Source organism: Homo sapiens, chromosome 11, assembly GCF_000001405.40.
Source record: "Homo sapiens chromosome 11, GRCh38.p14 Primary Assembly".
Taxonomy (NCBI): Eukaryota; Metazoa; Chordata; class Mammalia; order Primates; family Hominidae; genus Homo; species Homo sapiens.
The window spans coordinates 83937598-83952969 of NC_000011.10; the positions used below are offsets into that span (position 1 = coordinate 83937598).

The 15372-nt window shown below is 36.4% G+C and overlaps 1 protein-coding gene across 52 annotated transcripts in view, besides 1 other annotated feature; it reads right to left on the minus strand.

Annotated features, from left to right (window-relative positions):
- DLG2 (discs large MAGUK scaffold protein 2) overlaps positions 1 to 15372 on the minus strand; it is a 2173362-nt gene that overhangs the window by 482586 nt on the left and 1675404 nt on the right. The gene's annotated exons all lie outside the window — the stretch shown is intronic.
- Positions 758 to 817: an enhancer, noted in NCBI's record as "active region_5355". NCBI's record gives its function as "activates an Ori minimal core promoter by ATAC-STARR-seq in GM12878 lymphoblastoid cells {active_cell/tissue: GM12878}" and the evidence as "EXISTENCE:reporter gene assay evidence [ECO:0000049][PMID:35858748]".

Genomic DNA, 15372 nt, shown 5'->3' on the forward strand with positions numbered 1-15372 from the left:
TTATCAATATTTTAAAGATGCTCCTACAACTCAATAAGAAATGCAATAACATTTTAGTAAAAAACAAAGACAATTAGTATCCAATCACAAGAGAAAATACAAATGACAAATACACACACACATATAAATAACCTCACTAGGAATAAAAATAACACAAATTAAATGATACATCCCTTTTACCTATTTTTAAAAAAAGGATCTTGAAATTGACAAATCACAATTTAGTTGTGGTATGTTGAAACAGACACTATATTGCTGGTGCTATGGAGTGTAAAACCTCCTTAAAACATTTCAAGAAAGCAATTTGGCAATATATTTCAGGAGTTTTAGAAGTAATCCTGTCTTTTGGTTCAGCAATTCTACTCTAGTGTGCTATCTGAAGAAGAAAAATAAAAAATATGTACAAAAGTTTCTATAGAAGGAAAGTCATTGTGATTTGTTATAACAGCAAAACAGAATAAAACAAAACAATCAAAATGTCCAGCAAAAGAAGGGTATGGAATATAAGACACATTCACATGACGGTTTATTGTTTAACCATTAAAGTTAATATTCATAAAACATTTTAATGAGACAGGAAAATGCTTTATTTTATAATGTTGAATAAAGTTAAATACAAAATTGTATATGGGGCTGTGGGGACAGCAGGAAGTGAAAGCACCTAATTCTCTTACCATTTCAGAGAGAGACTGAGCTAAGAATATGTGAAAGTAAACACTGCTGAGAGTAGCAATTCTAGTGCAGGTTTGAAAGAGGGTGAAAGGGTGAAAGAGGGTGAAAAGGGAGAAAGAGAGTGAAAGGGGTGAAAGAGGGCTTTCTAGAAAGTGGTAACAGCACGTGCAGATTTAAAGAGGAATCTGCAAACATGTTCCATTTAGGGAGTTTGTTAATGGTTTGAGTAGATAATTGAAAAGTTAGGCAGGTCTTGAGTACAATTTTAAAATCCATAGTTGATAAGAAGTTATGGAAGACAGTGTTCTTCCTACTAGTTGGAATTAAATGAGTACAATCATTTTGGCTATTCATTTGTACATTCATTCATTCATTCATTCCACAAATATTTACCAAAAACCTACTTTGTGGCAGGTATATAGTAAAACAATTTAAAAAATGGTCCCTTTGTTTGTTGAACAAACATTTTGTTTGTAAGGAAATCTGATTGCAGGAACAGAGACTTATTTAATCTACTTTAGGTAACAGGACACATGTGCATAGAAACCCAGAAAAAGCTGTGTGATAAATACGGAAGAGTGAGATCTAAGGAGCTGGATCTCTACAGCTTTCCCTTCAAGATAACGCTGTTTCTTTTGTGCTACTTGTTCCTTCTGTCTCAAATCACCACTTTGACCTCTAATTTATAATTGAGATACTTTCTACCTGATAGCTTCTTCTTGCCCTCAGTTTCTGTTCTGTAATGACATCAGCTGGCATTAGACTCACAATGGATCATCGGGCCTCCTTTACATCATAAATCACTAGCTTCCCCTTTCACTGATCATTGCCTCGGTTGAACTGCTTTTCAATTAAACATTCCTAACTGAGTATTTGTTGGACTTAGTACACCTTTTTGAGTAAACCACCTTATTGGTTACTTGTTAGCCTCTGGATTGGCATCCTTTGGGCCAAGTACACTCCCTGTCTATTCAGCTCTCGCTAGCAGATGAGTGACCTGGTCCTTATGAGTTTGGTTTGCTTTTTCAGCAGACCGGTGGGCAGGGCACAATTGTTTAAGCTGGGTATCCCACTGGTATTTTCAGGTTTGTTCTGTTGAGTATACTCCCCACATCTTCATATTCTTAGCCAGTACTATGAAACCACAGTGTAGAGAAAAAAAGCAAGGCCATTCCTTTTTGAGAAAAACTTGGAAATAACAAAAGAGAAAGGAAAGTGTGAGGAACATTACAAAGGCCCCCAAAGAGAAGGTCTGAAGCTTAATATCACCTACAATTTCTTTCTTTTTATCATGGTGTCAAAAATATAATATTACAGAATAAATACTCTACCTCTAAAATAATTCTTTTCTTTCCTCGGAGGCTCGAGGATGATTGACATTAGTAACACCTAAAGTTGCCAAATCTGATAAAGCTTTGGGTTTTAAAATTCACACCCCCCACAAGAATTTCTGAATATATTTAGCAAAATCACATTTTCTAAAGTAGAATTCAAAATGTTTATTCATCTATATACTTCTGTAGGCCAATTTTACATTACTAAGACAAACTCTACAGGGGGGAACACTCTTATACCTTTAACTGAATAGATGCTAAGACTGAATATAACAGCAGCTTCCTAGATGGCAAAATAATGTTCAGATATAATTCTCTACTTGTGAACAGGAAGGATAAGGTGGCTTTAATCGAATCACTTAAATGGATTTCTTTCACATTCCTTGGAAGAGGTACATTTCCCTCTGTTTCATGCAGCTGTTTCCATTTAGTCTTCTGTGCCTGTTACTGTAAACAGGTTATGAAGATTGTTTGGTGGCCATGAGGGAAGGATAAGACATGCATAAGAACAAGAGATTGTTGTAGCACTGCCTTGCTCTCTTTAGAGAAGGCTTTTTGCTAAGAAGCACCTTTACATATATTGGTCCTTCCTTCCACCCCTAAACATTAGAAAGTCCCTGGTTTCTATCAGGGTCTAACTCCTACTTTCTCCATAAAGTCTGTTGAGTACACCTGATTGTAGATTTTTCTCTCTTCTTAACTCCCATACAGTATTTCTTCATGATTGCCACTTGGTTTTGTACTTTGATGTATTTTAAATAATAATAACAACTCACATATATCTTGAGAACTTACTATGAAGCTGGCCCTGTGCTACATATGCTTTATATACCCGATGTTATTAATCCTCCCATGAAACCTAAGACATATGCAATACTATTATCTGCAAAGGTTGGCATTAACCTGCCCCTCCTCACATACCTGACTTGTGAGTGGTAGCGCTTGGCTTTGAACCCAGATTGTCTGGGTTCAAACCACTAAGTGTTCTGTTGTCATTGTTTTAAACACTTTCTGTAGTATATACTTGCCCTCAGTGATCTGATTATATTTCTTGGTCATATTAGCAATTATACCTCCTATTTTAAAGGCAATAGAGAATAGGACAGAGGAAACAAACTGTGATTCTCACTATCTAGATTCAAGTCCGGCCCTATTCCTTTAAGACATGTGATCTTGGGCAGGTTGTTTACCTCTATGCCTCAGTTTCCTCCCCTAACCCAGGAATAGTGCTTGGGTCTTAGGGCCTTACGAGTATTAGACGAAATGATGCATGAATAGCACAGTGCCTAGAAGACAATCAGTAAATGTTTTGACTACTATAGATATTTAAATAGGAAATCTGGCTGTAGGCCATCCGGTTTATACATCTCTCTTGTCATGTCTGTGGATGTGAATTCATTCATGAGAGACGATTCCCTCTTATGAGGACAAAACCATGTTTCTGGCCATGTCTAGGGTTACAAGATTTAGCTAATAAAAATATAGGATGCCCCAGTTACATTTCTATTTTGGAAACATAACAAATAATTTTTTAGTATAAATACGTGACTATTACATGAGGCACATTTATACTGAAACTTATTCATTGTTGATTATTATTTAAGTTCAAATTTAACTGGGCATCCTTATTTGGCAATCTGCCAGCCCCATCACCTTGCAAGTTCCCATGCATTGCTAGTAACCTGCCTTCCAGCATATACATTTACTCTGTAATAAAATTTACTTGTTTACTCTGACTCTCCCTTTAGTTTGCTATGTTCTTTTATTTGTTTTTAAAATTTATTTATTTAATTAATTTTTTTTTTTGAGACAGAATCTTGCTCTGTCACCCAGGCTGGCTGGAGTGCAGGGTTGCAATCTCAACTCACTGCAACCTCTGCCTCCTGGGTTCAAGCCATTCTCCCATCTCAGCCTCTCAAGAAGCTGAGATTACAGGTGCGTGCCCTCATGACTGGCTAATTTTTGTATTTTTAGTAGAGACAGTTTAGTCATGTTGGCCAGTCTTGTTTTGAACTCTTGACCTCAGGTGATCCGCCGGCCTCAGCCTCCCCAAGTGATGGGATGACAGGTGTAAGCCACCACACCCGGTCTGCTACATGCTTTTAAATCAGCATATGTGCTTAATTTTGTATTTTCAGTGCTCATTAAGATGTCTCTATTTATATCTATCCCCATATACACATCTATACTCAAATCTATACATAAGCATGCAGATAGATAATTTTAAAATAAAAGTTGCTCATATTATACATATTATGCCACTGCTTTTATTTTTAAATTTCACATTGGATATTAGACGTTTTTCTGTGTCAGTACACATGGCACCGGCTACCTTTTCTTTAATGGCTGCAAAAACACTCTCCACACACTGGTGTTGGTAGTATAAACTGCTGAACCTACAGTTCAGAAATGTTACTTCCAGAAATCTGTTCTACAAAACTGAGTACAATAGGTGTTCACAGAATTGTCATTGTCACAGCATTTGTAGAAGCAAACCACTGGAAAAAATATTTATGTTCATTAGTGCTGAATATAGTTTTAACGTAGGCATTAAAAACATTCCTGTGTAAGTAAATTTGATGACATAAAAAGACAGCCACAAGATATTATTAAGTGAAAAAAATTCATTAGCATTGAATACAGTTTTAATGTAGGCATTAAAAACTTTCCTATGTAAGTAAATTTGATGACATATAAAGATAGACACACCATATTATTAAGTGAAAAAATCGAGTTAAAATAATATATATACAGTTTGATTCAGTTTTTGTGAATAATAAAAAATATTAAGTACGATCCCAATTTTACTTAGTAGAGAATGAGATTAAAAAGAGTCTAGAAGCATACGCCAGGGAATTTGTTCAATATCATTTATGAATGATATGTCTACATAAAATTTTTATTTGCTCCCACTATTTCATGTTTTCTAAATGACATTAAGAATTATTAATGACATAAACTGAGCAATAGTTATAAATCTGTATATATAGTTTGATGCCAATTTTGTAAGAGGCATATCTGTACATCTGTAGGTTAATATGGAAAAGTTACCAACATGTTAATAGTGCTTTCTCTGAATGGCGGGATTATGGGTACTTTTGATTTCCTTAAATTTTTTTTTGTATTTTAAATTAATTTTTTAAAAATATTTTTTGTACCCCATAAGGGGATAGATCTTGAATGTTATCACCACACACACAAAAAAGGTAACTATGTGAGGTAATGAATATGTTAATTAGCTTGGTAGTGGTAATCATTTCACAATGTGATATGGTTTGGCTGTGTCCCCAACAAAATCTCATCTTGAATTCCCATGTGTTGTGGGAGGGACCCTGTGGGAGGTAACTGAATCATGGGGGCAGGTCTTTCCTATGCTGTTCTCATGATGGTGAATAAGTCTCATGAGATCTGAAAGTTTTATAAGGGGGAGTTTCCCTGCACAAGTTCTCTCTCTTTGCCTGCTGCCATCCTTGCCTTCTGCCATGATTGTGAGGCTTCCTCAGCCACGTGGAACTGTAAGTCCATTAAACCTCTTTCTTTTGTAGATTGCCCAGTCTTAGGTATGTCTTTACCAGCAGCATGAAAATGGACTAATACACAATGTATACACAAGAAAACATCAAGTTGTACCCCTTAAATATATAAAAATTTGTCAATTATACCTCAATAAAGCTGGAGGAAAAAACTATTTTTTCTTGTAACTCCAGGGGAGGACTGTTAGGGATATGTATTGGGTACTTTTCAATTCAGCCCCAAAGATCCACACATTCTTAACCCAGAAACAGAAAATATGTATTTTTTCAAATTAGTACTGTTTCCTTATTAATGAGCAACTTTTATTTCTATGTAGTGCCTAGGTACTAACTAACATGGCATTATGAGAATAGTGAAAGTTCATTATAAATAACTGGTTATGACTAACAAGATGGCTTAACTGGTATCACCATATTTGCTATTTAAATTTGTCAATCTCAAATGTCTTCAGTTATGCAAATATATTCTGTTACTAACAAGATTCTACTTAAAGTTTAGTCTACTTCGGGGAAATTATGTGCTAGCTACAGCCATTTTATAGAAAAGATGACACAAAATTAAAGCAAATTTACAGCAAGTATAGTCTTTTTTACTGGTGCATCTATTCACTCAACATATTTACTGCCCTTAGAAAACACATTGGGAGGCTATGAACATGGTGGAAAGAGCGCAAGCTTTTGGGCTAGAAGATCTGGGTTCAAATACTGTTCTTCCACCTATCTGTGTGACTACAGGGAAGTATCTCTATTGCCTGAATCTTGGCTGCCTTATCTGGAAATGGCCTTTTAAGATCTACCTTATAGGACTGCTACAGGATTAAATGAGATAATATACGCAAAGCCTTCACAAATCACCTGCCATATGGTACATACTCAGGAAACAACTATATTTATATACCAGATACTAACCTATGTGATATGGAAGATAAAAATCTGCTCTTGACATAAATTCTTCCCTCAACCATTACTTCGTCTTGGAGATGCGTGTATGTATTTGACAAAATAAAGCTAAAAATGACTAAGCATTATGGGAGGGAAATAGACACTCTTCCCTCACTGACAAAACACATTCTTAAGGCAACCATACATATGGCTTTCCCGTTTATGCTCTTTTAAAGTCTCAGAAATCACCACTAAAGAATGTATTTATATAATCAAACACTGCCTGTTCCGCCAAAACCTTTTGAAAAGTAAGTAAATAAATAAATAAGAGCTGTTTTCTTGTACACTGTTGGCCAAAGTCTTTCATGCAGGTTGAGTAAGATCACAAATTAAACTGAGGGACAGATGACTAGTCATGAAGCCCAAGAAAGACAGCATTAATTGCCTATTGTGAGGATCTAGAGAAAACTGTGCTTTATTACCGATCCTGACTGGCCCAGTATAGCCGATGGAAGTCAGAGGTGCTGTTAAGTGAACTACTGGAATGAGGACACAGGGAATAACAGAACTAGATGGAAGAGATTTTTTAGAAAGACTAGCAATAGAGCCAAACCTTCTGTCTATTATATCTAACCAATCCGGAATAGATTCAACAGATGAGAGAAGTTTTAGGACAATACATTCCAATCACAGCTTAGATAGACACCAGGCAACAAAACTGCTAGAGTTGTAATAAAAGCCAGGCACAGTGAAAAGTAATGGTCAAAATATCAAAGAGCCAACGGGCTCCACAGAATCTTGAGGTCAGCCCAGAATAACTCCGTGCAGCAGGGTGGTATACAGAATATAGAATTTGGAGCAAAGTCACCCCATTATCTTCCCTTTTGTCTCCTTAAGAAATATTCTATAAAATCTATGTGATTTGCCTAAAATCTGGAATTGGGTTTTTTAGATGGTGAAGTAGAGGAGGGAAATGGTTGAATTCTAGATTATTACAAGAATGGAGGGTCCCCAAATTTCTCAGTCACTATATGGTCACAAATACCATCACCTTTAATCTGTACAACAACAAACTTTCACGGTGGATATTACATATAGCTTTTGCATAATGGTGGCACATGGTGGCGCACGCCTATAATCCCAGCCACTCAGGAGGCTGAGGCTTCAGAATCGCTTGAACTCGGGAGGCAGAGATTGTAGTGACCCAAGACTTCATCATTGCGCTACAGTCTGGGCAACAGAGGGAGACTGTCTCAAAAATAAATAAATACAAAAATAAGTGGGAGGGAGTAGGATAACTGAAATATTAATGTGAGTTTTGAGCTTCCTGTTTTTTCTTCCCAAGTGTGAAGCAGATAACCAGACCTTTATATTCCCTTGCCTCAGTAGAGATCTGTAATACAGAAGAAAAGCAGAATTTTCCCAAAGACTTCTCTCTTCCAGGTTTTCGTTCCTCAAAAATCTGAGCTCCTAAACTGTTGATGCTCAGGGTGAGCTCTGAGAGAAAAGGCAGGCAAGATAGAGCCTATTATTATATATTTGGATTTAAAGAAAATAAAATAATGCTCTGTCAAAATGCATTTATAGAGTGAAGTGCATATCCGCTACAGGTGTTTTTAAATAGCTGATGCCTTTAGTTATAAAATCTAAATACTGTTGTACAAATTCTGTGTTTGGTAACTCTTGCTCAGGAGCAATGATTTTCTTTGCACATTATCACTAGTAGTCTCAGTGGTTTAGGGTCGTCCGCTATTTTAATGAAAATTTATCCTATGAGAGAAATGCCTCTGTGTGTGTGTGTGTGTGTGTGTGTGTGTGTGTGTGTGTTTTCTAATGTGCTTTTACTTTTTGCATTTTGCTGTTACTTCTGGTAACATGATTTTCCTTCTCTTTCCTTCTTTCCTTCCTTCCTTCCGTCCTTCCTTCCTTCCTTCCTTTCCTTCCTTCCTTTTCTCTTTCTCTTTCTCTCTCTCTCTTTTTTTTTTTTTTTTGACAGAGTCTCAGTCTGTCTCCCAGGCTGGAGTGCAATGGCACAATCAAGGCTCACCGCAACCTCTGACTCCCAGGTTCTAGCAATTCTCCTGCCTCAGCCGCCGGAGTGGCTGGGATTACAAGTGCCCACCAACACTGCTGACTAATTTCCGTATTTTTAGGAGAGATGTGGCTTCACCATGTTGGCCAGGCTCGTCGAACTCCTGACCTCAGGTAATCTACCCGCCTTGGACTCCCAAAATGCTGGGATTACAGGCTTGAGCCACCACACCCAGCCAACTTCTGGTAATATGATTTTCTGAGGTCAAAGACACAATGAATTTAAGACAGTGATTCCCAAATCTACCTGTGCATCAGAATCACCTGTGGATATTTTAGTTCTGTTTTTGACACTTATGTCCCACTTCCACCCTGGACATCCAGATTTGGTAGATCTGGCATGGGGCTAAGGACTCTGTTTTCTAAAGAGATTTCACAGGTGACTAATGGGCTATCAGAGTTGAGAACTACAATTAGACCCGCTCTTTTTGAAAAAGGTCGGAAATAGTCACATTTTTGAATGACATTAACTCTTTCGGTACTATAGAATACAAATTATTGTGCTAACTTATTATGACTTAATTATATTCCATGGATAAATGTTAATATTTGTAGAGTGTAAATATTAAGTTCTTTTTTCAAGGGAAGACAAAAAATTGTGACTTTCATTATTTCACTGGCGAATACACACACGTGCACATACACATAATTTTTAAAAAATTTTTGTTAGCAGAATTTAAACAAATATTTCTCTCTAAGCTGCAGAAAACAATGGTTCTGGGGATAGCCCTACCTTGCTTTAGTCAGGCAGACCACATTCTCACTGTGAGTGCCACACTCAGTTGCAACTCCAACATAGTTTCCCTTAGTTCTCACAAATTTAAATTCGGTATAACCTTATTAGAGCTACTCTCAATATTATATGGATTTAGATGTATACTCTGTATGAAACTTCGACAGTATATGATCGAAACTAATATTATGCAGTGAAGCCATGGAATTAATGCCACTCCTAGGAACTGGAAAGCGTCATGATAGATGTTGCTATGCATATATTTAATTTCTGTGCTCATATAATGATGGTCTACAAAAATAACCACTGCATTTACTTTTTAAAGTTTATGATACCTGAATGGGAAATCTGAATATTTGGGGAATGCAAATATTTGTGATTACTCAACATTCTAGATTTTTTTTTTAAGTTTTTAAATGAATAATCAGTTTCTTTAACATAGACTTTTCTTTTTGCATGACTTTTACAATTAGGCCTGGTTTTTGACAGATTCTTCTTAATTAACATCAGTATATGTTTTTAAAAGGCATTGAAATATAGAGAAAACATCACTGAATCAATATAAAGTCACAAAATCTATTCTTAATACAGGTACAAGTGTAGTGTAAATGTATGTTTTATTAGGCTAGCTGTAAGAGTGTTTCCCCCGCATTCACTTCTTAACCTCACTCTACCACTCCCAGCTAGCTCAACTATCATCACAGCGGAAGCCAGTCCTATAATGACTATGGTTTCCTGGACTAAAAGTCAACATTAATAATAATAATGGCCACCCTGAATGTAGCTCATTTTGTGCCAGGCTCTGTTTGAAGTGTTTTACATGGATTAATTTATTTAATCCTGATAATAACCCGTGGCATAGGCATGGATGGGGAAACTGAGGCACAAAGAAGTTACATAACTCATCCAAAGTCAAATAGCTAGTAAATGGTGAGCCCAGACTCTTTTGAGTCTAACATCTGTTCTCTTAACCAAGATGTTATCCTCCTTCTGGCTTCTGGCTTCTGAGTTTGTCACTTACTTTCTAATTGTCAAAGGCGAAATCATGGAATCTATCATCTCAGGTTCCAAATCTGTACAACAGATATAATGGCATCTCTCCGTCCATTTTGTATAAAGTCATAGGAATTAAAATGAGAAACAGGAAAGTATCTGTGCAGTACTAGATAGCTGTGACAGTTTACTAGTACTATTATAAATTCAGAGCAAGGCTTCACAAAATTGGCTTTGAAATATTTGACTATCACATTTATTTCAGCTATTTCGTTTTGCCTTCATCTCTTATCTCAAGGTGGAAAATGAGACTTTAGAAAAAGATTAAAGCAAAACAAAAAATAAAATCTCAGGCTCCAATGGATCAGTTGATAACATTCCCATTAGGAAGGAGTATACATGAGAAAGGACTCACATTGTTCTACTTCAAGGTCAATCCAATTTTTTTAAAGAAAACCTAGGATGGGGGTGGATATTTAAATGTTTACATGCAGTGAGACACCCTCACAACCACAGCTAAGTTCTTTCAGCAAATGCTTATTAAGGCAGCCACATGGGGTCTATGTAATGGCCAGAATGACAGGCATTAAGGACTGACTCCCCACCCAGCACTCCATGGAAGTTGATTGCTTTCTGGAACAGGTTGTGTTTCTGGGAGGAGGCAACCACATAAAACTTTAGTTCTACCTTTCTAAGTAAAAGAAAAACCAAGACTAGCTTGAAACAGAGAGAAAATTCTAGAAATCTTAAAGTTAATAATGCTACCTATGTAGTACTGGAAAAAAAAAAAAAAGCCATACTTGAGTTGGTCTGATTCTTGACCTTGTTATATACCAACTGCATGTTAATAGCATAAAGATATGGATTTTGGAGCCCAACTGCCTATGTTTAGACACCAGCTTTGCTCATTACTAGCTATGCAGGCAAGGACTTAACTGCTCTGTGCCTAGATTTCATCTGTAAAGTGGGAATAAAAATAGGATTTACCTCATGGAGTGATGGGAAGGTTAATGGGTTTATATACTTAGAGTGTCTAACACATTGTTATGCTAGACAAATACTTATCTTTTCACTAATCTTTCTTGCTTCTGCTTACTCATGCATAAAGTGAAAATAATAACACCAATCTCAAAAATTAATTGAGATATTTTATGGAAAATACTTAGCATAGACTGGCATATATATGGTAGAAATTCAATAAATGACAGTAATTATTAACATTAATTCAAAATGAATTTTTACATTTTTTCTAATATTGTTGTCCCTATGGTCTCCAGTGTTGATTAGAAATAATTTACAAGAGAGTATGAAACATTCTTTTTCTCTAATGGGTTTAAAAGCACTGTAGAAACCAAGTAAACTAACTGAGATTGTAGACTAAATGTGATAATATTTGAAAGGTATCCAGCACCAAGCAGATCTCAATAAATGGTGTTCCTTTCCCATAGCTCTTTAAGATTCAATACCATGTTGTATGTGATAACTACACAAATAGGTTTTAACTCTAATGATCTTTTCCCTTCCTTACCCCCATTTTCTTGGATTAATGTCTTTTTAGATTATCAACAATAAAAAATAAGAATTGTTGCTCCTATGAGGATGGGGAAGGAGGAAGCAATTTAACATACGTTAAATGCCAGTTATTTGATTTCCACATGGTATCTCTATTTTTCAACACTACCCTGCCAACTAAGTTATTATCTCTTAATTACAGGTAAAGAAACCAAGGGATAAATAGTGCAAGGTCATAGAACTATTTAATGGCAGAGCCTTTAATTAATCTTTAGCAAATTTCTAGGATACAATGTAGTATTATTAACTATAGTCACCATGCTGTATATTAGATTTGTAGCATTTACTCATCCTGCATAACTGAAACTTTGTATCTTTTGACTAATATCTTCGTGTTTCCCCCTTGACATGTGCCTAGACTTATCCAGTTCCAAAAGTCATGCTACTTCCTTCCACTTACCTTCCTGCCTCTAAAAAAATAAATATCTTAGAAATACTAGAGTTGAAAAAAATTGAATTACACAAGATTATGGGTAGGGCCTTCAATAATGGACCTTTAAAAACAACTGGGATTAATCACCATAAGTTTTATAAGTTATAATTTGGAGACTAGTTCCCAGATGTTAAGCCTAATCTATTTACCTCTTATTTTCTATATGGACTGTACATTTTATATAATGTTTTATCGCTTGTAGCTTCCATCACTTACCAGCTGAGTCAGCCTTGGGTTAGTCAACATCAGTTACCTCACGTGTAAAAGGGGGTAATTATAGCTGCCTCCTGGAATTACTATGCAAATTAACCAATGTATATCAAAGCACTTTGTAAACTGAAAGGTATTACACAAATATCAGTTATCACTATTACCACAATTCTTATGAATTCTAAGAAGTATTTAATTAATATCTGCTTATAACTGAGGATGTTCTGGCCCTGAATATTGTTTGTAAAAAATACAAGCAAATGGCCAGGTGCAGTGGCTCACGCCTGTAATCCCAGGACTTTGGGAGGCTGAGGTGGGTGGATCACTTCAGGTCAGGAGTTCGAGACCAGCCTGACCAAAATGGTGAAACCCTGCCTCTACTAAAAATACAAGATTAGCTGGGCATGGTGGTGCATGCCTGTAATCCTAGCTACTTGGGAGGCTGAGGCAGTAGAATAGCTTGAATGCGAGAGACGAGGTTTCAGTGAGCTGAGATCGTGCCATTGCACTCCAGCCTGGGCAAGAAGAGTGAAACCCTGTCTCAAAAAACAAACAAACAAACAAAAATAAGCAAATGGCTTGGGCCACAGAATGAATAGAACTCCTGCTTAAGTATCCTTGCATGTAACTTTTACAATATTGTCTCCCATTATACCCTGGACCCTACTGAAGCTGTCACAAGGAAGTCTTAGATACTAGTGGCTAATTCCTATTGTTCTTTTCCAATCTCAGTCACCCCCTGGAAGAAGCTGTTCCTGACTCATCAGTCTGGATTAGATGCCTTTTCTGAGCTCCACATAGCTTTCAGTACTGCTCTCCAACACAGCATGTATCACCTCTATTATATTTTTGGGTTTATTTGCCTGCCCCCCCCTCCACACTTCCACTTTGCTGTCTTTTTGAAGATATTACACACTGGCAAATATTTGTTGAATAAATCAAAGTATGGAAAGTGAAAGATTGAATAAATGAAACGAGAGATTAACAAAATAAATGAAAAGAAATGTAGAGGAAAAGGAGAAAGAGAAAACATGGGAATTAAAGATAAATTAAGAGACATAAGCATTTAAATTAGATACAGTATTAAAACAAGCATTTCCATATACAGCTGATGGGAATGTAAACTGAGACCAAAAAAATTCAAATCAATCTGATAGCAATATCAAGAGTTCTGTAAATGTTCATTAATTATATTATATTCAGTACACAAATGTTTACTGAGTATTATATATGTTCCAGGCACTCTTACTTGTGCTGGGACTAATCAATATACAAAACAGATAAGTCCCTGAGCCATAAAGCTTATAGCCCAGTACAGGATGACAGACAACAAACAAATACTCAAATAAAAATGATGTCAAGCAGGAATAAGCACTAGAGAGAAAAATAAAAGGGAACACAGGACGAAAGGGTGATCGTGGATGGCTCATATTTATCTGAGGTCTGAGATGGCCTCTCTGATAAAATGGCTTTTGACCAGAGAGGTGAAGAAAGAAAAGCAAACCATGTGGACATGTGGATGTGGAAGGGAAAAACATTCAAGGCAGAAGGAGGGGCAAGCACAAACTTCCTGAAGCAAAGTATGCCTACTGTGATCAAGTAACAAGGAAGTCTGAGTATCAGTGAAGGGAGTGGTGGGGGATGAGGTCAGAGCAGCCAGCTGGAGTCAAATCATAAAGAGTCTCATAAATAAGGGCTTTAGATTTCACTCCAGATGACGTGATCTGAATTTAAAAGAGTAATGTATGGTGCAGCATGAGTAACAAAGGCAAAAATGGAAGCTGTTTAGGGAGCTATTGCAATAATTAAATGATAGATGATATGAATTGACTAGTGTGCTGGTAGTGGAATGTGGCACATTGTGGATGTATTTTGAAGGTAAAACCCACAGAATTTGTTGATGGACTGCATATAGAATATGAAAGGCGGAAAAAAAGAGAAGGCAAACCCCAAGGTTTGTGACCTGAGCAACAGCTCCCATAGAACCGTCATTTATTAAGAAGAGGAAGACAAGCTGGGTGTGGTAGCTCACACCTGTAATCCCAGCACTTTGGGAGGCTAAGGGCAGGGGGATCACTTGAGCTTGGGAGTTCGAGACTAGCCTGCCCAACATGGTGAAACCCTGTCTCTACAAAAAATGCAAAAATTAGCCCAGCGTGGTGGCATATGCCTGCTATCCCAACTACTTGGAAGGCTGAGGTGGAAGAATTGCTTGAGCCCCAGGAGGCTGAGGCTGTAGTGAACTGAGATCGAGCCACTGAACTCCACCATGGGGGAAAGAGTGAGACCCTGCCTCAAAAAAAAGAGAGTAAGACTATGGAAGGACAGACTGGGAATAAAAAGCAAGAGTTTGTGTTTGGACATATTAAATATGCAATGTTTATAAGACAACCAAGTGAGATGCTGATTAGGCAGTGGAAATTTGGCATTTATATTAAATACATATATAATCAAGAGATGAAGGCAGAAAGATTGTATAAGCACAATAAGAAAATCCTAAAAATAAATGTCTATTAATAGGAAAGTACTTATGTAAATTATGGTTCAGTTATACGATAGGCTATTATACAGCTACTAAACATGTTTTTGAAGACTAAGAACATTAGAAAATTCTCAAGATATAATGCTAAAGCAAAAAATAAAAGCAAAAACTCTCTCATTGCACATAGTATGGTCCAAATTACATGAATAAACATACAGACATGGAAAAAACTCAAAGGAAAATATTTCAAGTAATTATCTCTCTGTGGTAGGAAAAACAGTAATTTTAGTAGTTTTTCTTTATATTTTTATTTTACAGTTTTTCTACAAATATATATTACTTTTATAATCAGAGAAAATGAAATTAGACAAAAATAAAACATTGAAAGAAAAAAATTAAGGAGGGCTATAAGGTAGATCAGTAGGTAATAAAAAGCA